General features: G+C 37.8%; 1 protein-coding gene across 1 annotated transcript in view, besides 1 other annotated feature; it reads left to right on the top strand.

The window, feature by feature from the left end:
* Positions 13,231–13,300: an enhancer, noted in NCBI's record as "active region_22830". NCBI's record gives its function as "activates an Ori minimal core promoter by ATAC-STARR-seq in GM12878 lymphoblastoid cells {active_cell/tissue: GM12878}" and the evidence as "EXISTENCE:reporter gene assay evidence [ECO:0000049][PMID:35858748]".
* Positions 13,247–17,090, top strand: part of LIX1 (limb and CNS expressed 1) — a 50,745-nt gene continuing 46,901 nt past the window's right edge. Inside the window, exon 1 of the mRNA NM_153234.5 lies at positions 13,247–13,363. Within this exon, the coding sequence (NP_694966.3) occupies positions 13,282–13,363 (82 nt within the window). The 5' untranslated portion in view covers positions 13,247–13,281. The remainder of the gene's footprint in view (positions 13,364–17,090) is intronic.

Raw genomic sequence — 17,090 nt, 5'->3', positions numbered from 1 at the left:
ACTTTAAACAACCTAACAATGCATCTTAAAGAACTAGAAAAGCAAAAGCAATGCAAACCCAAATTAGTAGAAGAAAAGAAATAATAAAGATCAGAGCAGAAATAAATGAAATTGAAATGAAGAAAACGATACAAAAGATCAATGGAACAAAAAGTTGATTTTTTGAAAAGATAAAAGTGACACAGCTTTAGTCTGAATTTTAAGAAAAAAGAGAGAAGAGCAAAGTAAGTAAAATCAGAAATGAAAAGGGAGACATTACAATTGACACCACAGAAAGTCAAAGGATCATTAGAGACCACTATGAACAACAGTATGCAAATAAATTGAAAAATCTAGGAGAAATGGACACATTCCTAGACACAACCTCCCAGGATTGAACTATGAAGAAATCCAAATCCTGAATTAACCAATAACAAGTAACATGATTGAAGCCATAATAAAAAGTCTCCCAGCAAAGAAAAGCTGAGGAACCCATGGCTTCACTGCTGAATGTTACCAAACATTTAAAGAAGTACTAACACAAATCCTACACAAATTATTCTGAAAAATGTAGAAGGAAATACTTCCAAACTCATTCTGCAAGGCCAGCATTACCCTGATACCAAAACCAGAAAAAAACACATCAAAAAAAGAAAACTAGAGGCCAATAGCCCTGATGAACATTGATACAAAAATCCTCAAGGAAATACTAACAAATCAAATTCAACAACACGTTAAAAAGATAATTTATAATGACCAAGTGGGATTTACCCCACGGATGCAATGATGTTTAAACATACACAAACCAATCGTGATACATCATATCAACAGAATGAAGGACAAAAACCATGTGATCATTTCAATTGATGCTGAAAAAATAAAGTGGATGAAATTCAATATCCCTTCATGATAAAAAAAAAACTCTCAAAAAACTGGATACAGAAGGAACATACCTCAACATAATGAAAGCCATATATGACAGACCCACAACTAGTATCATCCTGAATGAGGAAAAACTGAAAGACTTTCCTCTAAGATTCGGAAGACAACAAAGATGTCCACTTTCACCACTGTTATTCAACATGGTTCTGGAAGTCCTAGCTTGAGCAATCAGAAAAAAGAAGGAAATAAATGGCATCCAAATTTGAAAGGAAAAAGTCAAATTATCCTTGTTTACAGACAATAAGATCTTATATTTGGAAAAACCTAAAGACTCCACCAAAAAACAAACTCTTAGAACTGATTTTAAAAATTCAGTAGTCGCAGGATACAAAGTCAACATACAAAATGTAGTAGCATTTCTATATGCCAACATCAAACAATCTGAAAAATAAATCAAGGAAGTAATCTCATTTACAATAGCTATAAATAAGTTAAAATACCTAGGAATTAACTTAGCCAAAGAAGTGAAAGAACTCTATAATGAAAACTATAAAATATTGATGAAAGAAATTGAAGAGGACACCAAACAACTGGAAAGAGAGCCCATGTTCATGGACTAGAAAAATCAATATTGTTAAAATGTCCATACTACCCAAAGCAAGCTAGGGATTCAATGTAATCCTTATCAAAATACCAATGACATTGTTCACAGAAATAGAAAAAACAATTCTAAAATGTATATAGAAACAAAAATGCCCAGAATAGCCAAAGCTATCCTGAGCAAAAAGAACAAAACTAGAGTAATCACATTATCTGACTTCATATTGCTGAAAAAATTAAGTGGATAAAATTCAATATCCCTTCATGATTAAAAAAAAAACTCTCAAAAAACTGCATACAGAAGGAACATACCTCAACATAATAAAAACCATATATGACAGACCCACCAACTAGTAGAGCTACAGTAACCAAAACAGCATGGTACTGGCATAAAAACAGACATATACACCAATGGAACAGACTAGAGAACCCAGAAACAAATCTGTACATCTATAGTGAACTCATTTTCAACAAAGGTGCAAAGAGTATACATTGGGGAAAGAACAGTGTCTTCAATAACGCTGGGAAAACTGGATCTCCATATGCAGAAGAAAAAAACTAGACCCCTGCCTCTTACCATGTACAAAAATCAAATCAAAATGAATTAAAGACTTAAGTCGAGGACCTCAAACTATGAAATTACTACAAGAAAACATTGGGAAAACTCTTTAGGTCATTGAAATAGGCAAAGATTTCTTGAGTAATACCCCAGAAGCACAGGCAACCAAAGTAAAAATAGACAGATGAGATCACATCAAATTTAAAAGCCTCTGCACAGCAAAGGAAACGATCAACAAAACGAAGAGACAACCCACAGAATTGTAGAAAATATTTGAAAACTATCCAACTGACAAGGGATTAATAACCAGAATAAATAAGGTGCTCCAATAACTCAATAGGAAAAAAAATTTAGTAATCTGATTTAAAAATGGGCAAAAGATCTGAATAGACATTACTCAAAAGAAGACATACAAATGACAAACAGTTGTATGAAAAGGTGCTCAACATCATGGATTATCAGAGAAATGTAAATCAAAACTACAATGAGATATCTTCTCACTCCAGTTAAAATGGCCTTTATCCAAAAGACAGGCAAGAACAAACACTGGGCTGGGCACAGTGGCTCATGCCTATAATCCCAGCACTTTGAGAAGCCGAGGCAGAAAGATTTCTCAAGCCCAGGCATTCAAGACCAGCCTAGGCAACATGGCAAAACCTTGTCTACAAAAAAAAAAAAAAAAAATTAGCCAGGCATGGTGGTGCATGCCTGTGGTCCTAGCTACTGGGGAGACTGAGGTGGGAGGGTCACCTGAACCTGGGAGTTCCAGGCTGCAGTGAGCTGTGATCATGTCACTGCACTCCAGCCTCTCCAACCTGGGTGATAGAGTGATAGAGTGAGACCCTGTCTCAAATTAAAAAAAAAAAAATGCTGGCAAGGATATGGAGAAAATGGAACCCTCATACAATGTTGGTGGGAATGTAAACTAATACAACCACTATTGGAGAACAGTTTGGAGGTTCCTCAAAATCTAAAAATAGAGTTACCATATTATCCAGCAATCCCACTGCTAAGGATATACCCAAAAGAAATAAATTCGTATATTGAAAAGATATTCGCACTCCCATGTTTGTTGCAGCACTGTTCATAATAGCTAAGATTTTGAAGCAACCTAAGTGTCCATCAACAGATGAAGGGATAAAGAAAATGTGGTACATATACACAATGGAGTGCTATTCAGCCATAAAAAAGAATGAGATCCTGTCATTTGCAAAAACATGGATGGAAGTGGGGGTCATTATGTTGAGTGAAATAAGCCAGGTACAGAAAGACAAACTTCACATGTTCTCACCCATTTGTAGGAGCTAAAAATTAAAACAATTGAACTCAAGGAGGTAAGAGAAGAACAATGGTTACTAGAGGCTGAGAGGTAGGGTTGGGAGAAAAATGGGGATGGTTAATGGGTACCAAAGAATACTTAGAATGATTTAGACCTAGTGTTTGATAGCACAACAGGTTGACGACAGTCAATAATAATTTATTATACATTTAAAAATAACTAAACAACTATAATTGGATCATTTGTAGCACAAAGAAAGGGTAAATGCTTGAGCTGATGAATTCCTCATTTACCCTGATGTGATTCTTATGCATCATATGCCTGTAGCAAAATATCTCATGTATCCCATAAATATATACACCTACTATGTACTCACAAAAATTAAAAATAAGAAATTTCTTAAACTAACATTTTATATAACATTTACACTTAATTGCATAAGTAGAAGTATGCCTCATATTTAAAATATTACTTGGGACATTTATTACAAGACTATGTCCTTCTAGATTTTAAAAAAGAAAAGATAACTATTTGAAATAAATGAATCACCAGGCATGGCATGTGCCTGCAATTCCAGCTACTTGGGAGGCTGCGGTAGGAGGATGGCTTGAACCCAGGAATTTGAGACCAGCCTGGACAACATAGTGAGACCCCCAAATCATTTTTTTAAATTAAAAAAAAAAAAACTTTAAAAAAAAGAATTAAAAAACCCTCTTACTATAATGCTACTGTTGGCTGAAGAGGTTTGGCCTAGATTAGGAAGAAAATGTACATGTTCACACATCAGTAATTCAAGTGTGTGGGGTATATAAAGTGATATTGGGGAGGAGAGTACACAGATTTTCTTTTTTTTACGATAAACTTTTGCTGGCTTGGAGGCCGCCCCTGTTTTTTTTGAGAGACAAGAATAAACACATGGAACAACTACATGACAATATAGAGAAGGCTGTACCCAAGAGCCTGGTATCACTGATAATTGCTGGGGAAATTCCAAGCACAGTCTGAATGAAAGGGCAGCATAATTTGGTGAATTGTTTTGGGGAATGAAGGTTTGGGTGAATAGGTGAACTAAAAAAGAAAACTTTCAAAGAGGAAATCATGCAGAAAATTCAGAAGACAGAAATGAATGTCGTGTGTTTGCTGTGCTGTAATTGGGAAAATGGTGTTTTGGTGTTGTGAGAGCAAAGGGCCAAATTCAAGCTTATTTTGAAATATTTTTTAAAGTTGATTATTAGGAAAAAGTGACTGTAGATTTTGAAAAAATACTGCAGAGTATTTAAAAAAAATTTTTTTTTTTAGAAACACGTCTTGCCCTGTCACACAGGCTGGTATATGTGGTACATATACACAATGCAGTGCTATTCAGCCATAAAAAAAAGAATGAGATCTGGTTATTTGCAACAACATGGCTCACTGCAACAAAGATAGCTCACTGCAACCTCAAACTCCTAGGCTCAAGCAATCCTCCTGCCCCAGCTTCCCCAGTACCAGGGACTACAGATGCATACCACCACACCCAGTTAATTCTTTTTTTTTTTTTAGAGATGGGGTCTCACTATGCTCCCCAGGCTGATTTCAAACTCCTTACCCCAAGTGATCCTCCTGCCTTGGCCTCCTGAAGTGCTGGGGTTACAGGCAGGAGCCATAGTGCCCAGCCCAGTGATTTTATTTTAATGAGGAAGGAGTGGGGCTAAGGGAATTAGTCTGTTGATGTTAGAAAGGGTTTGAGGGAATTTGGAATAGAATCTAAAATGTTGCCCAGTTAGTAGACTAAATATTAAGGCTGAGACAATCTGAAATAGAACCTTATTCTATTGGACTTGTAGTTACAGTGATTCTCTATCACCTTGTTCTTATTTTAGGGATGAGAAAATATCTTTAGATGTAAAAGTACTTGCTCAAAATCACATAGAGTAAATAAGGGGTGGAAGGAGTGGGAGGAAAAAATGTAACTGATAAGTACCAAAACGGTGAATGGTAGGAAAACCAGCATATTCCAGTGGCCTAAGGCTTGTATTCAGCCTGGGAGTCTCTTCTGCAGAGTCTTGGAGGCCCATAAAATTTGACTTGCCCTCCTGGTGCCATGGAAGTATGAGAGAAGACAGTATTCACAACCAGGTTTTGATTCCATCCTCCATCAAGTTTTCTCACTTTTTAGAAAACAAAGCTTTTTCCTATTACAGGTCTTTCTATCTTCTCAGTGTACACCCAAGAAAACCCATCGCAATAGACAGAAGCCCTTAGTGGAAGATTCCTGGGTTTTTGTTTTGTTTTGAGGGCAATGCTGGGGGACTGCTTTCTTTTTGGGCTCAAGGCTATTGAGATACCTTGAGAAGCTCAGAAGAAAATATACTCTAATTTGGTCTTTCTCCAATTTTCAATTTGTGGACAAATAGGTCCCTCTTTCTATGCCGTGTCTTATTTCCCCTTTAAACAGATTTTGAAGAGAAATAATGCTTGTTCTTTTTTTAAAATTTTTTTTACCGCACAACACTCCTTTATGTTTCTTCTTTGTCAGCAGAATGCATGCTAAGTGTAGAACTCTAGTGGCGACTGCATAGGAAGTGAAGTAGAAATTATAGTTTACAGTGTGAAATGGATGGCACAAGGCTTTTATCTTAATGTAAGCATATCCATAAGTGTAGCCTGGATTGATTTAAGAGTATACTGATGATGCAATCTTTACAGGAAGCTTCAACTGAAATATATGGAGCTGTGAAATTACTAGGTTGCTTGAACCCAAAATCTCCATCAACTAATCTTAGGCTTATATCATTTGTTTAAACCAATAAATAGTCTCCTAGGTATTTTAAACTAATAATTTTTGCATAGTCTAGATTTTCCTTTTACTTTGCTCATTATTTTTGCAGAAATTTAAATATTCTATATGACTTACACCCCCAAGAAATGTGACTTTCTAGGTAACCCATAGAAGGGGTGTGTGTCTCATCCCTTGGCTTGCCCCTTATAGAAGACCTCTTCTCTCTTTATTTGAGGAGTAGCTCAGAAACTCAGCTGGAATTCAAATGTCTCTTTTAGAATCAATCTGATCACTTTACAGCCACATTTTGTATAAAGTTTTTTCCTATGCACCCAATGATACAAATTTCTGTCCTGGAAAGGGTGTGTGCTATCTGAGAAAATGGAGAGGAACCAATAATTAGATAAACTTTTATGAAAGAGAAAATATCATTATAAAGGCCACTAGCAAAATCCACTCCAAAAACAAACCGAAATTGTTTTAACTATCTTTTTAAAAATACATATTAGGCTGGAAGTCAGCCAACCATCGTTAATAAGCTCAGTTATCACAAACGACATCCAGTGACCCAAGGGCTTGGCATCATTATCTCCAATCTTGTTAAGTTTGAACATCCAAATTCTCCCACTTAAATAACTCTGAGTTTATCCTTAAAGTGTTAACCTGTGAACTAGCAAAGCCTCCCTCAGTATCTTTGACCTCTGAAGTATTTCTTGAATAATCAATTTTACTCCTCTCAGAGACCAAATACCAAGACAGCTCTGGGTAATTGGTTATATGAGACCATCAAGATAACATGGACCTATTCAGGGTCCCCGTATATATACCAATCAAAAAGCTGACATAAATGAGAGGTTGAATTTCATTGTGCTTTATGGTTATGAGAGTTGACTTTGCATTGGCAAGGAAAAAGAGCAGTTTACTAGTGGTTTTTTCATAATGTTCTATAAAACTGAAGAAATGTACATTCTTGTAATCTGGAGATGAGATATTAATCAATTTTCTAGTTATTTTTCATGTAGTTCAACAGATTAGTTCCTATTAATGAAACAAGTATCTAGGATAAAGTTCTTTTATGTTACTTGTATTTGTAAACTTTTGCCTAGAAACCATCTGAAGTTGCCTTTCCAACTCACCCTCTCAATAAATACCTTGATTCAAACATCTCATTTGTCCCTTCCAAGCTGACAGTATATAAATTAGCACTGCAGCCGTTCATTCTTTTAACTTGTTCTTTCCCAGCTGAGAGTAAACAAAGTTGATGCTATACAGCCATTCATTCCTCCTACTGCTCTCTTCCTAGTTGAGGCTAAACAAAGCTGACACTAAACAGTCATTAGCTATCACCTCTGCGAAGTCAACTTCTTCCCAGCCTTTCTTCTTCGTCCTCCCACACACCCTTAGAAACACTCCTGACAACAGCTTTGACCCTCTTTTGCCAATTCTGCATTTAGACCCTTCCAGTTCCTTCCACTCATTTCCCATTAGAATCTGAAAGGAGCTGTTGTCAGTCATTTCCCGTTGTTTTCATAAACTATTTGTTCTCCATATTAAGGCATTTAATGATTTGATTCCAATTCCTTTTCATTTGATCTATTTTATCTTAAATTGTACATTTTTAAGAATTAGAAAGTAAGTGAAGAAATTATTTCAGGATAGATAATCTTCCTAAATCTCAATCAAGGTCCACTCCCTCTCTCAGTCACCTGATTCACTAGAGATGAGTAGTATAAGTCATCTCAGGCTTAGTTACTGCAGGCTTATTATTTAAAGCCTGCATGTCTTGAACTGAAATCTCTTGAGGACCTGGAGTTTCACTAACCTCACCTGCAGCCTCACCAACAGGCCCACTCTCCTGTTTCAATTACCTTAGCTTCTTCCTCCAGAGCAGAGTACCTTATGGCAACATGAGAGAGTTCCTTCTTGTTTCTAACTGAAGATGATTCTTCAATGTATCCATTATATTTTCTAACATTCTGCAGGTTATTTTAACAAATGGCCCCTACCTTCTTATCATTTTTATAACTGTAATGAGCCATCTAACAACAAAACTGTTACTGGAATTAAGATCTCAGCTCACTGCAACCTCTGCCTCCCAGGTTCAAGCAATTCTCCTGCATCAGCTTCCTAAGTAGCTGTGATTACAGGCATGTACCATCACACCCAGCTAATTTTTGTATTTTTAGTAGAGATGGGGTTTCACCATGTTGACCAGGCTGGTCTCAAACTCCTGACCTCAAGGGATCCACCCGTCTCGGCCTCCCAAAGTGCTGCGATTATAGGCATGAGCCACCATGCCTGGCCAGGAATGAATTTTTTTTTACCAGAAAAATTATTATTTCCATCTACTTTTTTGTTGCATTATGCATAAAATTATGCAAAATATACCACCTTGATTTCCCATCTTGAAGAACTCTGTTCTCTCTGGAAGATTGGTAAATGTGCTATTTCCCTGAGCCTTCTTCTTACCATTGGGTGGTAAGTTTTGATCACTGAATATGTCAGTTGTATGTCATTTCTCATCCTCTGATTAGTACACTCTGACAAGATTTGTAAAAACATCATTTTGGTTTTACTTTGTTTGAATACTTTTGTTTTTGGTATATGCCAACAGATGGTTGAGGTTTACACTGAAATCTAATGTGAACTTTAGAATTTGTGCTAAAATAGACACACTATTCAGGGGTTTCTCAGGTTCTTCCATCTCTATCAGATGCTTCTTACATCAAATAAAGAATAGTAAGAAATAGTTGTTTTTCTAGACTATCTTACAATAGCATTTTAAGGTAAAAAGTCTTTATGGGCATTTAAGAAGGAAATGCATAAACAAAGTTTTAAGAAAACTTCTGCTGAAGGATTGGGCTTAATAGGAATGAAGAAACTATGCTATCTAACTGGAATGTTGTATAATCCACCTTTCTTAGAATTCCTTTTTCATTTCTCAAAATACAACTCATTAAAAATCATGATATTTATACGGACTTCTCTTCATGAAGCTGTTTTGGAGCTCTCCATGAAGATGCTCAATAGTTTGCTTTTTAAAGAAAAACCTTATGGAAATTGAAGATTAGTTTTCTTTTTTTCTTTCTTTCTTTTTTTTTTTTTTTTTTTTTTGAGACAGTGTCTCACTCTTGTCACCCAGGCTGGAGTGCAGTGGCGCGATCTCGGCTCACCGCAACTTCCGCCTCCTGGGTTCAAGCAATTCTCCTGCCTCAGCCTCCTGAGTAGCTGGGATTACGGCATGCGCCACCAAGCCCAGCTAATTTTTGTATTTTTAGTAGAGATGGGGTTTCGCTATGTGGCCAGGCTGGTCTCGAACTCCTGACCTCAGGTTATCCACCTACCTCAGCCTCCCAAAGTGGTGGGATTACAGGCGTGAGCAACTGCACTTGGCAAGAAGATTAGTTTTCTCAACAAATTCTTACCTTTCATTGTAATTAATATTAGAAGTGAACATCTTTGAATTCCTCATATTGATTTGTGTCTCTCATACTGATGAATGGATAACAATCAGATTGACTGTGGGAATAGAAGTGATTTGTTTGAAGACCACTGCACCCTTAGGAAACAAATATATGAACTTACAGAAGGCTAAAAAATCTGTGATAATATTTGTGCTCATTTGTAATACAGGCATAGAAAAATGTATGTTAGAACTGAAAGAGAGCATCCAGCTTAATCCCTTAATTTTACAGAAGAGGACTCTGAGCCCAAAAATGAGTGGCTTCTTTAAGGTTATATAGATAATGAACATGAAACCCTGGTCTTAATGATCCCACGTTCAGTGTTGCTTTCACCAAAATGCAACCAAAATATTTTTAAATACTGCTGGAATTATATTTAAGCATATAGAAATGCCCATTTATTGACTGAAATCCAAACATTTCTTTTTTTTTTAATATTATCAGGCTTACTTCTTTGAGAAGTCCATATCATTTTTCTTGGTTCTCTAGTGGTGATATTAAATATCTTGGTTTTCAATTCAATATCACATTGAAAGTACTTCATTTATACTTTGTGTCCAATCAATGGATAATAGCTTTTTTGTCCACAAAGCATCTAATTTCTGTTTTAGATGATAAACTCCTGGACAGCAAGGACATTGACAATTTCCTATTTGGCACAGCTCATATAAAGTGCACTTTGGGACCCTGTTTAAAGAAAATGTCTTAACATGAAGGGCCACTTCTTTCAAGTTCTTATCTTATACAATGTCTTTGCACTCTGGGGCAACCCTGTGTCTGTGTTCTGTGTGGCATATACTCCCTGCGGGCATTTGCTAAGTGATAGTCATGATATGGTTTGGCTGCGTCCCCACCCAAATTTCATCCTTTTTTTTTTTTTTTTTTTGAGACAGAGTCTCACTCTGTTGCCCCAGCTGGAGTCCAGCAGCACAATCTCGGCTCACTGCAACCTCTGCCTCCCCAGGTTCAAGCAATTCTCCTGCCTCAGCCTCCCGAGTAGCTGGGATTACAGGCATGCACCACCACGCCCAGCTGATTTTTGTATTTTTAGTAGAGCTGGAGTTTCACCATGTTGGCCAGACTGGTCTCGAACTCCTGACCTCAGGTGACCCGCCTGCCTCGGCCTCCCAAAGTGCTGGGATTACAGGTGTGAGCCACCACACCTGGAACCAAATCTCATCTTGAATTGTAGTTCCCATAATCACCACGTGTGGTGTGAGGGACCTGATGGGAGGTAATTGAATCAGGGGGGTGATTACCCCCATGCTGTTCTCATGATAGTGAGTAAGTTCTCATGAGATCTGATGGTTTTATAAGGAGTTTTGCCTCTTTGCTTGGCACTTCTTCTTCCTGCTGCCATGTGAAGAAGGATGTGTTTGTCTCCCCTTCCACCATAATTGTAAGTTTCCTGAGGCCTCCCCAGCCATGCTGAACTGTGTGTCAATTAAGCCTCTTTCCTTTATAAATTACCCAGTCTTGGGTATGTCTTTATTAGCAGCATGAACTAATACAGTGAGTATAATAGGAATTATTATTCTAGTTCGGTTCCATCTATTTCCTTTTATGAAGCCTGCTCTTCTACAAACTAGCTGAAGAAGCTGATCACATGGAAGGTATTTCATTTTTATACAGTCTTTAAAGGTCTACTTTCAGTTCATCATAAAATACAACCTAGTTATGGAATCTGAAAATTGGAAGAAACACTGGAAAGCAATCTTTGTGGCTACCCTGGAAAAATATTTTAAATAAAAGTTTGACAATCCTCAACAACCTCCTTCAACAAGTAACATTGGTTACAACCACTAAAATTAGTTATTTTATATCTGGTATAAATCCTTATTATGGAAAAGGAATCCTGTGACTTATATTTATGTCTTCTATGGAAAGATTATTTAACAAAGTGTTACAGGTAGTATAGATCATGAATAGGTAGAAAAAGAATTTCTGTTTTCTTAAGATCTTTAAAGGCCAGGCATGGTGGCTCATGCCTGTAATTCTAGCACTTTGGTAGGCCGAGATGGGTGGATCACTTGAGGCCAGGAGTTTGAGACCACCCTGGGCAACATGGTGAAACCCCCTCTCTACTAAAAATACACAAATTAGCCAGGTGCGGTGGCGTGGGCCTGTGGTCCCAGCTACTAGAAAGCCTAAGGTGGGAGGACCGTTTGAGACTGAGAAGTCAAGGCTGCAGTGAGCCCGGATCATGCCATTGCACTCCAGCCTGCATGACAAAGTGAGACTCTGTCTCAAAAAAAAAAAAAAAAAAGGATACAGCTAGGGACTAAATTAAGCCTTGCATTTGAATTCAGGAGCCACTCTTCTGGAAGCCAAGGCTTGTTACCCCCCACAACCCTCCCAAATTTTAGTCACTTCTATTGGGCAGGGGCAAGTAAAACCTGACAGACTGTCTTACAGCTTGCCTGGGAACATTTGTTTCCCTATTTACCCTTCAAAGTGAATCATTCCCAAGGTTGACTTTAATTAATTCTGATGTAATTCACTTCCTTTCACTTAATAATTATTAAAAATTTCAGGGCAGGGTGCAGTGGCTCACGCCTGTAATCGCAGCACTTTGGGGGCCCAGACAGGATGATTGCTTGAGCCCAGGAGTTTGAGACCAGCCTGGGCAACACAGTGAGACCCCATCTCTACAGAAAATTTAAAAATTAGCCAGGCGTGGTGGCGTGTGCCTCCCAACTACTTGGGGTGCTGAGATGGGAAGATTGCTTGAGTCCAGGGCTCAAGCCCCTCACTTGAGTCAAGGCTGCGGTGAGTTATGATCACGCCACTGCACTCCAGCCTGGAGGACAGTATGAGACCCTATTAAAAAGAAAAATAAAACAAAGAAACAGGACGAGAAAATACATATATGTTTCTTAAGGTAGTTATTGAAAGATTTTTTTAAAAAATTGAGACAGGGTCTTACTTTGTCACCAAGGCTGGAGTGCAGTGGCACAATCTGGGCTCACTGCAGCCTCGACTTTCCAGGCTCAAACCATCCTCCTGCCTTAGCCCTCCAAGTAGCTGGGATCACAGGCATGCACCACCACACCCAGCTAATTTTTGTATTTTTTGTAGAGTTAGGGTTTCGCCATGTTGCCCAGGCTGGTCTGGAACTCTTGGGCTCAAGCGATCTGCCCGCCTCAGCCTCCCAAAGTGCTGGAATTACAGGCATGATAAACTGCACCCAGCCCCATAATCTTTATAGCACTCCTTTACCAAAGAAGAATTACACTGAAAATTTAGATTTATAGGGATTATACTGTTAACATATAGCTGGCAGTCCTGAGCTGGAAGCTGTCTTGTCATTCAGGAAATTTCCTGGAGAAATAACCTTCCTGATTCCATATTCCTGGGGGCAACACAATTGAAGATGGAGGGCCAGAAGAAATACTCAAGTCAGAAAGCTGCACAGCATTCAGACAAAATCTGGTTGGAGAGGAAAGCTGTTTTCATAATTTAGCGAGCTTCCCCAGCTAGCCTGTAGGTGGGTGTGTTTAACAGAAGAAAGCAATGGGAACCCGCCTGTCAGCCAGCCTTTCGAGCTAATTAGCTCAGCATACAACAAAGATAAGTGAGCCTGGGAAGAGGGCCCCCTGAGGGGTCTTTAGATTCTGGGAAATGTCTGATTGGCAGATGTTAAAAGGGATTCCTTGGTAATCCAGTGCATCAATGAGCTGCAGAAATTCAGCCCAGGACTGCAAGAATTCAGGCATGAGGACACTCTGTACAGGAGGCTCACACAGGCAGACCCAAGATGGACAGAACCTTGGAATCTCTGAGACACATCATTGCCCAAGTCTTGCCTCACAGAGATCCGGCTCTAGTCTTCAAAGACTGTAAGTACTGAAGGGGGAAAAGTTTTTTGACTTTTTAGAAAATAGTCCTAAACGTCAAGTCACATCCTATTTAAGTAAGATTTCTCCTAAATCTCTGCAGTCGTATGCTGTGTTCTAAGTGATATTTTAACTTGTTCCTGACTTCAGCCAGAAGAACGATTTCATTTCACCTACAGGCATTAGGCACTGGGTTATTCTGTCAGTGATACATCTTGCTAACTACTTAGAAGTCTCTTCTACAATCCAAGACCTGCCTAAGACTTAATGAACTTTTTCTGATGCTTTTTAAGTAAAGCAAAGCTGACTGGTGTTGAGATTAAACCTAAAAATAATTTGGAAATGATACTAGAATATATCAATATTTGTTAACCTGTTTAATACTCCACAACACATATTAGCTATGTTAATTCAAGTATCGTGTTTGTCTGAAAATATTTGTTGCAAACCAGAATTAACAGTAAATCACCACTGAACTTTTAAATTTTGATAACAGATTATAATGCTTTAGTTAAAAGGCCAATAAAATGAGATGCCTCCTAACCTCAGCAACACTCCCTGTGTGGACCCCCTACCACCATCACCAATTTATACAGCATGGCAAAGTTATTTCAAAATCTTTTTTTTAATGATTTAAAAATAATTCAATCAAGATTTCCAATTCTAGCAATACTATTAAACCATTTGTCATATAACTTCGTTTCTGGAACCAATTTGATTTCCTGCTGCTGCAAAACAGACTATCTTCATGTTGTATCTTATCTACAGTGGGTTTCATATTACAAAGGGCTTCTGAAATAGAACTGCCCAAAAGGTAAAATGCATATGGAATTTTTTTTAACTTCAATAGGTTGCAGCTTTCCTCTTTGTGAATCTAGTTGTGTTTGTCTCCATCAAAACATCAATGGTTTGAATTTTTGCTTTCTGATTGCTGAATAACGTTCCATTCCAGATGTCCTCTTAGCTTAGATTTCTCATATGTATGTTGAAGAAAGAGGAATGTTAGGCCATTTAATTCTATAAATTTTTCCTCTTAGATGTTAAATTGTAACCAATCTGTCCTTTAAGGCATAAAGTGAAAGCCTTTTCTTTCTCTAGCTCTCTTTTTAAATATTGTCTTTAGGCATTTGCCAATAACTATGTTAGATCTAATAAAAATCACTCTCTCCACTACTCTAGCCTGGAGTCTATTCAGGTTTGTTATGTTTTTTAAGCGAAAAGGGGAGGAAAGAATGTCTCTCTCCTACAATAGAACTGATTCACTAGTGAGGGATAAAAGGGCTCTCGGGCTGCCCAAGCTTTGGATAAATTGTATAGGACCAGGGTTCTTATGCTGAGCATTTAAATAGGGGAAGCAGTTAAAAAAAAAATAGGGGGGACGTTTTTCACTGGCCCATTGAAAACTTAATAAGTTCAAATGTGAAACTGTATAGCTCATTTTTTAGCTGAACTAAATTGCTGCGATTGTTTACAGTTTAGAAAAGAAGATAGACTAGAAAAAGGATTACAATAAAGCATACATTAAGTTCTGTCATCCAGGACTTTGCAGGACTTCTTTTATATGGGAGAACAAATAAGTGTCCTGTTTTATATATTTCATTCATTAACATAGAACCTATATTTGACCAGAGAGCATTGCCTGTTTACCCTAGAATGGACTGCTACTCGGCAACTGCTTGCATGGCTTAATAGACGTGAATATTAAACTGCCGATTCTCTCCCTTCTTTTCTAATCTGAAAAATGACTAAATGACAGTAAGCCAAATGGCACATTTCTGTACCAGGAGTTTTCCTAACTTTAAAACATCCAACCACTTACCAATCTCGTGGAATAAGTGGGAATGGGCTGCTTACTTTCTGGGACAGGACATTAAAAGTCTGTCTGGAGCCTATGCCATTGCCCTGGCAAGCTGTAGGTGCTGCACACGCCAGAGTTTGGCATATGGTCCCATTTTCTTTGGCATACCCATAAGTTGCTGCCACCACACTCCTATTGGCAGCCTGTAAAAAGCTGCCACCAGCCTTGAATGGCAGGTTCTGAGCAGTCCCCTCTCCTCCTAGTCACTGCTGGCTCCTCCTCCACTCTAACCTGCTCCAAGCTCTTTCTGCCAGAAGGAAAGAGCTGAGCACTTGAGCACATCACTGCCAATTCCTTAAGAAAAATTGCTACCTTACTTTCCTACAAGATGAAAGCTGATCCAAGAATTTTTAAAACCCAGCCCAGTTGAACAAAAGAATAAACACACACAAACACACAAACACACACACATGCACACACAAAACACTTTTAAATTTTTTCTTAATTTATCTTCCATGAATGCAAACACAGTTTTTCTCTCTTCACTCTTTGGTTATACATAATCCAGGGAGTGTAAATGATCATGCAATTCATTTATTGCCCTCAGTTGGCTTTTGATTTGCTTAAAAACAAGCAATAGTAACTGAATTTTCTCTTCAAGTTGGTTAGAAAAAGCACCCAGAGAGTTTTCTGGTCTGAAACAGATGCACATGGGAATAGTTACATTCATTTAAAGAAATAAAATTCAAATGCTTTCTCAGATGAGGAAGCTCTTCAAATGGTATTTTGCAATACATTAAACCTGTCATTTTATTTTATACAAGGCGTTCATCTGGCAATAGTTGTGATTTGTTTCTTTTTTTATTTTCTCTTCTAGAAGGAAATAAATTCCATAACACTTTTTTCCTTTTCCCTATTTCACATTTCATATGAAAAATAATGGAAAGAGGTTTTAAATAAGATGGACTCCCAATTTGAAATTTGTTCATCTAAGCTGACACTGGACTGTTCTCCCCTGCATAAATGTCTCTATTTTAAAACAAGTAGCACTGGAAGTCTCCACACTACCAGGCAGAATCTCTGCAAAGTATAGCTTGTCTCCATATTGCTTTCCATTCTTGGCTTTGTGCAATATCCAATTTCGTTTCATGTGTCATGCATCACAACCAAAGCTGAGCTATCCTAAAAGCAGCCCCTGTCCACTCTTTTGAAGAAGTGTGTTAACTTACTATTCATTTGCCACTGTTTGACAATTCCTTGCGTACTTTCTCAAAAGAAATCACCACATGACTTCAAGATAGCTATGCTTTCAGATCCTAATCTGAGTGTTAACTCTTCATATTACAAGAGCACAATACATTTATCTGCCATCTTTGAGCTCTTTCTTCAACCATTTAATAGTAAGGCTAAGACATCAAGTCCTCATCATGTGATAGGCACTGTACTAGAAACATTTATTCTTCACAGTAAGCTAGTAATGTAGGTACAATTGTTGTTAGAGGTGAGGAAACTGAGGCACACAGAGGTTAAAATGACGTGCCCAAGGTCACTCAAGGTCACACAGCTAGTATGTGATAGAGCCAGGAATCAAATTCTGTCTTCCAACTCCTTACCTTGAAACACTATGAGACATTGCCTCTCAGAAGTGCTAGTTACCATGTCATTAGTGTTGTAATAGCAGTACAGGTTGAGTATGCCTTATCTGAAATGCTTGGGACCAGAAGTGTTGTAGATTTCAGATTATTTTTGGATTTCAGAATATTTGCATTATATATACTTTAGCACCCCAAATCTGAAAATCTGAAATCTGAAATGCTTCAATGAACATTTCCTTGGAGTCTCATGTCAGCAATTAAATGTTCTGGATTTTGGAACATTCTGGATTTTAGGTTTTTGGATTTGGGATGCTCGACTTATATCTGTTAGGAAAAC

This window comes from Homo sapiens, chromosome 5, assembly GCF_000001405.40.
Source record: "Homo sapiens chromosome 5, GRCh38.p14 Primary Assembly".
Lineage (NCBI taxonomy): Eukaryota > Metazoa > Chordata > Mammalia > Primates > Hominidae > Homo > Homo sapiens.
The sequence above is the reverse complement of the archived record's forward strand: the minus strand, read 5'-3'. Positions and strand labels throughout refer to the sequence as shown.